Here is a 9,348-nt window from a genome sequence, read left to right as displayed (position 1 = left end):
CAAGCCTCCGGCAGCCCTCCCCGCCCCGCCCGGGCTCCGCCCCCTCACCCGCCCGCCCGCCCGCGAGCTTGCCCCTCCCCCCGAGCCTGGCTCCGAAGCGCCTCGGCTATCTCCGGATACTGGACGAAGGCGAAGCAGGCGGCCGCTTCGGCTGCTTCCGAAAACACCCGAACGTAGGGTTTCGCCGACTTCCCAGGTTTCCGTAACTTTTCCGAGATTATCTCCTCAACGTTCGGAGGTTTCCGTGTGTCCTCGTGTGCCACTGCGCCCAGTCCCCTCTGCGAGTTCGGGTTCTTCCAACAATTCAATCCGTCCCAGTCTTTGGCTTCTTCCACGGACTTGCTCCGATCTTCTCCGCCGGCCCTGTCCAAGCAATCGGCCACTTCCGACAATCCTAACCGTCCCGGCCTTCGGCTCTTTCCGGAGATTTCCGGATCTCGCCCTCGGGCCCCTCCTGGGATTAAGCTCGAGTCCGTGTTTCGGCTCTTTCCGGAGATGCCACTTGCTCACGCCTCCGATCAGAGAACTTCGGCTCCTTCCGCCACCGCTTCGTGAAGGCCTCACTCTCCGGGGACAGCTTCGACTTTTTCCGTGGGTACCTCGGCTCCTTCCGGCTTCGGGAACGGAAAAGGGAAGGAGAACAGAGACGAGATGGATCAGGGGAAGGGATAGAGAAGGGGACGAGGTCCTAGTTCTCGGCACCTGGCTCTCCGGGTGGGGAAAGTGAAAGAAAAAAAGGGCCGGCCTCGCGGAGGGCCTGAGAAGGTTGTGCCAGACAAAAGCAGCAAGAGGGATGAAGGGTGCGCGCGACCGCTGCGGAGGTTGCCAGCGCGGCTTTTTGCGCCTGCGCAGGGTGGAAGCCGCGGGTGAGGGGAAACAGGCTTCTGCGCCTGCGTAAAAGTCGTTCTGTGGCGCGCTCTCCCACTGCTCCCGTGAAGGGGGTTGCGGGGACCAGGTTTCAGTCCCCATTGCGCGTGCGCGAGATTTCCCTTACAACGGTGAAAGTGCTTAATCCCCAGCCGTTAAATCCGGCCACCCTCTTGGTTGTCTCGGCAACCACATCAACGCGCTCCGGCTCTTCCCGCCGCGCAGGCGCGGCAGACGGATCATCTGGCATTACTTCCGGGAGACAGATGATCTGGCGTTACTGCCCCCTGGCGGCCCAACGGAAGTATCCTCCAGACTTGGCCTGGCCGCTAGGTGGCCTCCCTCGCTAGAGGTCATCGACTCACGCCTCTCGCGCCGCGCTCCGGTCTGGGTAGCCCAGCGGGTAGTGTCCACGCTTCTTTTTACTTTTTTTTTTTTTTTTTTGAGACGGAGTCTCTGTCGCCCAGGCTGGAGTGCAGTGGCGCGATCTCGGCTCACTGGAACCTTCGCCTGCCGGGTTCAAGCGATTCTCCTGCCTCAGCCTTCCAAGTAGCTGGGACTACAGGCGCCCGCCACCACACCTGGCTAATTTTTTGTATTTTTAGTAGAGACGGGGTTTCACCGTGTTAGCCAGGATGGTCTCGATCTCCTGAACTCGTGATCCGCCTGCCTCGGCCTCCCAAAGTGCTGGGATTACAGGCGTGAGCCACCGCGCCCGGCTGTGTCCGCGCTTCTTTTCCCGAGCTCTGCCTCCGAGTTTTCTGGGGCGCAGCTGCTTCACTCTCCATCTCTGCCTCCGGGGGGCTAATTACACCGTATCCTACCCGTCCTCCCGCCTGACCACCCACCCCCTTGGAAGCCCCCGCAACCCCGTCACCGTCTTCGGGGCGACGGCCGCCCCCTCCCAGGCACGTCCCCCTCCTAGGAAGAGGCTGAGGCCAAGTTTATTCCAAATTTTCACGTCGTTTTTTAATTTAAATTATCTGAATAATTCTCTGTCTCACGCGGAGTTGGGGAGGTCTGTCCGGGAATCAGGTGGGCAGCTCCTCCGCGGGGCCAGGGCGGAGACGGGGTCTGTACAGTCCCCCACTCGAGGGGGGGGCACCCGCCTGCCTGGTTTTCCAGGAGGAAGGGGCCCGGCGAGGACAGGGCTGGGCAGCCCAAGCGGAAGGGGGTGCCGGCGTTCGGGAAGGGGCCGCGGCCGGTCCGGGGCCGTCGCGCTTGGGGGCCCGGCTAAGGGAGCCCCCAACCCAGGGAGCGAGGAGGAGGGGCAGGGGCGCGGCGGGGAGAGGGGCAGGTCATCCACCGGGGTCCACGGGGGAGGAAGGCCCGGGTGGAGGCGCGGAGGCGTGGTGCGATCACCGCTTGAAGCGGTAGGTGATGGGCAGCAGCAGCTTGCTCTTCTTGAGCGCCTGCACCTTCTTGAGCGTCTCGTCGTCCAGGGCCAGAAAGCAGCGGCGGGAGTACTCGAGCAGGCGCTCCTTGGAGGGGTCGAACTCGCCCACCTCGGCCAGCTTCTCGGGGGCCACAATGAGCAGCTCGGCGATGGGCGTGGTCAGCGCCACGGTGTTCCTGTCCACGCGGTGGTGCTCGAAGGCCCGCGACATGCTCTTGAGCTTCTGGAAGGTGCCCAGGATCTTCTTGTACCGGCAGAGGACCCCGTCGGCGTCCTTCACTGAGGGGTGGAGGCGGGGACACGAAAGTGAGGGGCAGGGCACAAGACTGAGGGGGCGGACACGGGAAGGGAAACGGCCATGGGAAGAAAGGATCTCGGCGAGCAGAGGCACGGGCCGGTGCAGGTGGAGACGGAGAACAACAGGCAAGGAAGGGGCAGAGAGGAGGGGAAGAATCGCAGCCAGATCTTGGACCAGTGGGAAATGGGAAGAGGCAGGCCCAGGAAGGAGAGTGAGGAGACAAAATGAGCCAAGAGGCCGGGTTCAACCCACGCGGTCCCAGCACCCCCCGACACCCCGAGCCATCACCCTCGTCTCCCTGCCTCAGGTGAATTCACTTATTCAAGTCTCACCCTCCCCGTGAGGTAGGTCCTACTGCGCACCTCCTCCTTACTGATGAAAGTTAAGGAGGTGCCCAAGGTGGCCCTGCCCTCGACGGTGGACCAAAACTTAAAAGTAAACCCAGGACAGGCCATGCGCGGTGGCTCACGCCTGTAATCCCAGCACTTTGGGAGGCCGAGGCAGGTGGATCACGAGGGCAGGAGATCCAGACCATCCTGGCAAACACGGTGAAACCCTGGCCTCTACTAAAAATACAAAAAATTAGCCAGGCGTGGTGGCGGGTGCCTGTAGTCCCAGCTACTCGGGAGGCTGAGGCAGGAGAATGGCGTGGACCCGGGAGGCGGAGATTCCAGTGAGGTGAGAATGCGCCACTGCACCACTCCAGCCTGGGCGACGGGGCAAGACGTCCCCCCCGCCAAAAAAAAAAAAGAAAGTAAACCCAGGACCACACGTGGAGGAGGGAGAGACAGAACCCGGTGGGTCTTTCTCCAGCAAGGCTGGAGGGGCTTGGAGAGAAAGGGGGACCTCTGGGAAGGACACACAGCAATTCAGCAGCCCGGGCCCCTCAGCGCCCGCCCCATGCACCCCACTCACCTCGCTGCCTCTCCCGGGCCTTGGGCTTCCCAAAGCGCCTCCGACTAGCACCTCCCTTCTGCTTCTGCCGCCTCCTCTCACTGGCGCTGCCTTCTTCGGACGCTCCGCTGAGGGAGGAGGCTGCTGACTCAGGGTCCGAGGCCTCGCCCCCAGCCCCACCACGGCTGTCCCCCTCCATCCGCCTGGGCCCAGGCTTCATCCGGCAGTGGTCCTCTGGGGAGATGGAGACACACACATGAACCAAGGGACCAGACATCCCATCACAGGTCCCGGGACTGAGAGAGGCTGCAGTCCCCGAACTGGATCCCCCAACCTGGGCTGGTCCCCTAAAGAGACAGAGAGACAAGGAGTACGGTAGAGACGCTGGTGGCTGAGTAGAGCCAGTTGGGGTCTGTGGGAGGTGGTAATGGGTGGAGCATTTTCTCAGAGGCCTGGGTTGGCAAGAGGTCTTACGGAGGCAGCCGACCAGGGGCCTCAGGACCCCTGTGACTATGCGCGGTTCCCATAGGGGAGGGAGAAATTTCTGGGGACTGGGCGGGACCTCTGGAGAGTAGCCTCTGGAAACCCAGGAGGCAGGCAAGGCCTTGGCTGGAGTCGGGGGGTCAGACCGAGAGAAATCAGGGGCCCTGGGTCCAGCAGGCTGGGTCCCACCTCCATCTAGACAGAGGGAGCCGGCAGGCGGAGGCCCAGACACAGATTCCTCTAGAAGGCGGGTTAGGGGAGGGCTCTGGTGCCAGGGTCCCCACTGGGAAAGTGCCGAAGCCGCAGGGCCAAACTGTCTGTGCAAAGGAGTCAGTCACCCAGGATGGAACCATCAGTGAGAGGAGACAGTGGCAGGCCCAAGGGCAGCCAGAGGTGGTTTGTTCCCGAGCAGAGGGAAAGCCAGATCCCCAGATGCTGGGCTTCCAGTAACAGAGACACCACAAGACCATAGCCCCCTTGCCTAGGATTTTTGGGGAAAGGGTTGAATTCACAAAGAGAGATGTGGGAGCTTTTGAGGGGTCTTCCCAGCCAAGGAGCTAGCAAGGCTGAGATGAGGGTAGGTGGGGTAGAGTGTGGGTTCTCCAGGCCATGGGCTGTCGGGCAAACGGCCTGACCATCCGGGGAAGAGGATGGGGCTGGGGTCCAAAATGTATTAAACAGGGCACAGGGTCCCACCAGTCAAGAGAAGACGCTAGCTGTGAACTGGCTGGGGCTGGGTGCTGCTGTGGGAGCTATCTGGGCTGCTTCTGGCCATGAATTATAGCAGAGCAAGGTATGTGGGTGGGGACTGCCCAGGAATCAGGCAGGGTTTGAGGGACAGCACCTGCTGGGGTCACCACCCAAAAAGGCCCACAAAGGAAGGGACTTAATGTCTTTGATGGGGAAGGAGTGCTCATTAACCAAGGATGGGACAGGGTGGGTGGGAAGATGGCCCCTGGTGTCACAGAGGGGAGGGGGGGACAGGAGGAGGCCGGATGGCTGGACTCTTGGATCTTGGAGAAGACAGGGACGGGAGGAGGAGCAGGGGCCCCCTGAGGAAACCCAAAGAACTAGGGTGGGCCTCTTGGCCAAAGAGATGAAGGAAGGTCCCCCTAGGAGTCAGAAGAGAGGGGCTCTCAGGTGCCAGGGTCCCTGAAGTCACCATGGGCCAAGGAAGCAGATGGCAGGGCACTGGAGGCTGATGGGATTTGGGGAGCTGACGGAGAAGGCAGGAGGACGGGCCCCAGTAGACAGTTCATGGGGATGAGGCCCTGGAATCAAGTGAGGAGGCAGCTGGGCCTGGGGGCCCAAAACAGGCAGGGGACTAGCAGATAGGGCCAACATGGCAGGTCCCACCCAGCCAGCCAAACAGTGGAGCCTTGAGTCTGGGTGAGCGGGTACCCAGTAGCGGGACAGGGAGGCATGTGGATCAGAGCACCCCACACACACCTGCCTCCATCCGAGCAGAAGAGATGAATTTGTCCAGCTGGCACCGCAGGAAGTCCCTCTCTTCCTCCAGGTCCTCGATGCGCTTCTGCAGCCAGGAGTTCCTCTCCAGAGCCATGTGCAGCTGGGTCTTGACGCTGTTCATCAGAGCCAGGGCGGAGGACGCAGCCTCCGGAGGCTCTAGGGACACAGCGAGGGTGGGGGGACCAGGTCACACCCTGGGACTCAGGGCTTGGCTTCCCAGCTGACTCCAGTCCCTCCACACCCCCTCAGCTCACCCTCGAAGTTTCTCCGAGAGGGGCTCAGACTGTAAAAGATCTGTGGGTCTAGGTGGGGTGCCTCATCGAAGGGAATGGAGATCTCGAAGGTCTCATCGTCCTTCACTGGAGAGGAGAGGCCCCGGGTTACCCCAGAGAATTCCCCGGGCCTCTCAGGCCACCCCCCAACCACGGCAGCCTGGAGCCGACCGCACTGGGACCCAGGGTAGGGAAGGGGACCCAGCTTCCTCACTTGTCCGCCTCCGACTGCTCCGGTCATTCATGGCGCGGCTTCCTACGGACCCCAGCAGCCGAGGGCCTCAGGGGCACTGGACAGAAACGGCAGCCACAAATGGAGAGACGCAGATGGACTGGAGGGTCCATCCTGGGGGAGGTGAAGTGAGACAGGAGGGACCTTCTGGCCTGGACCCCTGGTCTGAGGGAGGAGGGAGCCTGGACCCCAGGACTGAGGCAAAACGCGCCTGGGCTTCAAACTCCTGGGCTCCTGGAGTCAGGGGCAGGGGGCCCAGCCGCCTAGGTCCTGGGGGAGAAGTGAGCTGGGGACGTGGGCTCCTGGGTATCGAAGGAAAAGGAAGCTGAAGCCCTAAATTGCTGGGTGCCCCAAGGGGTCGCCTGACCAGGGACACCTAGCCTGAAGGGGAAGGACCCTCTCTCATCGCGGGCCACTGCCAGGCCTAAGGAAGAGGCAGGTGCAGGGGGAAACTGCCCCAACTTCCCAGGGTAGGAGGAGGTCCAGCCCGTGCGCGCTGCCTCCTCTACCTTCGGGGCCCCCACACCCCTCCCCCGCACTCGCGTGGGCGGGCGGACCGTCCCCCGGTGGTGGGGGCTGGGCGCGTGCGCAGTACGGGGAAAGGTCACGCGTGGGGGTGCGCCCCCCCCGCCCCCGCCCTTTGTCCCGCGGGTGGGAGGGGGAGCGGTCGTGGAACGATTCCAGCGGGAACATGCACTAGGGCGGGGGTGCAAACGCGGCCACCATCCCCCGCCCGCGGGTGCCCGGGGTCCGAGGGGCCGAGGCCCCCCGCGCTCACCCACCCGCTCGCGGAATCCGGCTCGGGGACCGACGGCGGCGGCGCCCATGCCCGGCGCCGGGGAGCGTCTGCAAAGTGTCACGGGGAGCCGAGGGAAGCGCCCACCCACCCGCGAACAGGCGGGGCGGCAGGGGAGCGTGTCGTGGAACTGAGCGACGGAACGGGCAGGGACGCGGGGACTCGCCCAGTCGGGCCAGGCTAGCGCCCCTCGTTGAAGAGTCCCCGGGTCCAGGTGAGGCCCGCCGTTTGCGGCAGAAGCAGAGGGTCTGCACTTGCGCGATAGCCCCTTACAGCACTCCCCCGCCCTCCCCGAAGCTCAGGCAGGGAACATCACGAAATTCCCATCCTGGAGAGCTGGCGAGTCTCCGGGGGTCCCCGGATTGGGTGGCGGTGTGCCCAATGGGCCCAGAAGGCAGGAGAGTGTTTGAGACACCGAGAAAGTTGGAGCGAAAGGAGAATCTACTTTTAACGCTCTCTCAGGAACTAGCCAGCGCGGACCCCTCAGAGCTCCCCTACCTCCTACAGCCAGACCCCAAGGTTCTCAGGGATGTGGGGGCCAAAATCGGGGGAGTTACCCCTCTCCCGGAAAATGAGGGCCAGGAACACGCCACCCCCATCCCCATGTTGGTAATTAAGAGCTGGCTTTGGAGCAAAGCTAGATTCCAGTCCTGACTGTTCCTGCTCCTCCCCAGCCTGTTAACTCACCTGCAAAATGGGGAAATTACAAGCCCTTCTAAATTTATTGTGAGGATGCAGTGATGCGACACACAGAAGCTCAGCCCAGCACCTGGCCATCGTCAGGGCTGAAGAGAGGAGCGCTGCTGGTATTATTTGAGGTCAGATGGTGGGGTATGATGGCAGCCTCTGGGAGGCTCTTTCCCACTCTGGGGAGTATGAACGGAAGATTTGTTCTTCCTCCCAAAAAAACAGGTCGGAAGAGCAAATGAGGCCTAGCACAGTGCCTGGCACAAAATAGGCAAGAAAAATGAATGAATAAGCAGATGTTTATTAAGCTTCAGGCTCAGCTCCACCTGCCTCTCCTGTTCACCAGAAGCATCCAAGCTCTGGACTGTGGCCAGCCCTTATAAGAGCAAGGTCTTAACCCGATGGAGGGAGAATCTAAATGTCTGCACCGCCTGCAAAGCTGTGACCATGATCCTCCCCTCCCCACTTTACAGATTAACTGCAGCCTGGTCCAAAAATTCCAGGGGGAGCCATCTGCCCTAGATTGGTCTTTTCCAAACTACAGGTTCATGGGTGGAGAATTCAATAGAATAGGATGAAATCAGCAGTTTAAAAAAATATTTAGCCGGGCGTGGTGGTGCACACCTGTAATCCCAGCTACTCAGGAGGCTGAGGCAGGAGAATCGCTTAAACCGGGGAGGTGGAGGTTGCAGTGAGCCGAGATCGCACCACGCTCCAGCCTGGGCGACACAGCGAGACTCCGTCTCAAATAGTAATAATAATAGTTGATGGAAAAAAAAATGCACAAACTAAAGCTAACTATGGTAAAGAAATTTTTGTGGGCCGGGCGCAGTGGCTCACGCCTGTAATCCCAACACTTTGGGAGGCAGAGGGGGGCGGATCACGAGGTCAGGAGATCGAGACCATCCTGGCTAACACAGTGAAACCCTGTCTCTACTAAAAATACAAAAAATTAGACAGGCATGGTGGCGGGCGCCTGTAGTCCCACCTACTCAGGAGGCTGAGGCAGGAGAATGGCATGAACTCGGGAGGCGGAGCTTGCAGTGAGCCGAGATTGCGCCACTGCACTCCAGCCTGGGCGACAGAGCAAGACTCCGTCTCAAAAGAAAAAAAAAAAAAAAACTTTTGTTTCGAGGCCTAGTGCCCTGAGGGAGGCCGAGGTGTGTGGATCACCTCAGGTCAGGAGTTCGAGACCAGCCTGACAAACACGGTGAAACCCATCTCTACTAAAGGTACAAAATTAGCTGGGCATGGTGGCACACGCTTGTAACCCCAACTACTTGGGAGGCTGAAGCAGGAGAATCGCTTGAACCCAGGAGGTGAAGGTTGCAGTGAGCTGAGATCACGCCATTACACTCCAGCCTGGGTGACAAGAGCGAAACTCCGTCTAAAAAAAAAGAGGCCAGGCGCTGTGGCTCACACCTGGAATCCCAGCACTTTGGGAGGCCGAGGCAGGTGAATCACCTGAGGTTGGGAGTTCAAGAACAGCCTGACCAACATGGAGAAACCCCGTCTCTACTAAAAATACAAAATTAGCTGGGCATGGTGGCACACGCTTGTAATCCCAGCTACTAGGGAGGCTGAGGCAGGAGAATCGCTTGAACCCAGGAGGCATTGCGGTGATCCGAGATTGTGCCATTGGACTCCAGCCTGGGCAAAAAGAGTGAAACTCCGTCTCAAAAAAAAAAAAAGGAAACTTGGTTCACGTGTATTTTGCTTATCTGTATACTCTATTGCCATATAAAATGTGTTTGTAACAGGAGATTGTGGTTTTAAAATTGTTTCAGTTAAAAACATTCTTCCCAGATGACCCAGGTCTTCAGGAGCTGAGGAGGGGATAACCCCAAGGCAGGCCAACCTTCCCATTCCCCAGCCAGGCAAGCTGAGGTCTCCCTGCTAGACGGCCACCAAAGAGGGTCTGAGATGCTGTCTCTAAAAACAAACCTCGAGTGC

The 9,348-nt window shown here is 60.4% G+C and overlaps 1 protein-coding gene across 6 annotated transcripts, besides 5 other annotated features; it reads right to left on the bottom strand.

Moving 5' to 3' along the window:
- Window positions 42-91: a silencer, noted in NCBI's record as "silent region_11057". NCBI's record gives its function as "represses an Ori minimal core promoter by ATAC-STARR-seq in GM12878 lymphoblastoid cells {active_cell/tissue: GM12878}" and the evidence as "EXISTENCE:reporter gene assay evidence [ECO:0000049][PMID:35858748]".
- Window positions 142-811: an enhancer, noted in NCBI's record as "active region_15106". NCBI's record gives its function as "activates an Ori minimal core promoter by ATAC-STARR-seq in GM12878 lymphoblastoid cells {active_cell/tissue: GM12878}" and the evidence as "EXISTENCE:reporter gene assay evidence [ECO:0000049][PMID:35858748]".
- Window positions 1,811-7,572, bottom strand: CCDC106 (coiled-coil domain containing 106). Of its 6 annotated transcripts, none has more exons than NM_001370467.1 (6): window positions 7,396-7,572; window positions 5,895-5,970; window positions 5,663-5,767; window positions 5,388-5,564; window positions 3,477-3,689; window positions 1,811-2,542 (listed from the first exon to the last, which is right to left on the bottom strand). In NM_001370467.1, the coding sequence occupies exons 2-6, from the start codon at window positions 5,923-5,925 to the stop codon at window positions 2,226-2,228; spliced, it is 843 nt and encodes a 280-aa protein (NP_001357396.1). In that variant the 5' UTR covers window positions 5,926-5,970; window positions 7,396-7,572; the 3' UTR covers window positions 1,811-2,225. The 6 variants fall into 6 exon arrangements, with proteins under 6 accessions (NP_001357396.1, NP_037433.2, NP_001357398.1 ...); NM_013301.2 differs by lacking the exon at window positions 7,396-7,572 and adding an exon at window positions 6,695-7,384; NM_001370469.1 differs by lacking the exon at window positions 7,396-7,572 and adding an exon at window positions 6,695-6,953 and having other exon boundaries at window positions 5,895-6,214.
- Window positions 5,295-5,344: an enhancer, noted in NCBI's record as "active region_15105". NCBI's record gives its function as "activates an Ori minimal core promoter by ATAC-STARR-seq in GM12878 lymphoblastoid cells {active_cell/tissue: GM12878}" and the evidence as "EXISTENCE:reporter gene assay evidence [ECO:0000049][PMID:35858748]".
- Window positions 6,405-6,534: a silencer, noted in NCBI's record as "silent region_11056". NCBI's record gives its function as "represses an Ori minimal core promoter by ATAC-STARR-seq in GM12878 lymphoblastoid cells {active_cell/tissue: GM12878}" and the evidence as "EXISTENCE:reporter gene assay evidence [ECO:0000049][PMID:35858748]".
- Window positions 6,565-6,684: a silencer, noted in NCBI's record as "silent region_11055". NCBI's record gives its function as "represses an Ori minimal core promoter by ATAC-STARR-seq in GM12878 lymphoblastoid cells {active_cell/tissue: GM12878}" and the evidence as "EXISTENCE:reporter gene assay evidence [ECO:0000049][PMID:35858748]".

Source organism: Homo sapiens, chromosome 19 (genome assembly GCF_000001405.40).
Source record: "Homo sapiens chromosome 19, GRCh38.p14 Primary Assembly".
In the NCBI taxonomy this organism is placed as follows: Eukaryota; Metazoa; Chordata; class Mammalia; order Primates; family Hominidae; genus Homo; species Homo sapiens.
The sequence above is the reverse complement of the archived record's forward strand: the minus strand, read 5'-3'. Positions and strand labels throughout refer to the sequence as shown.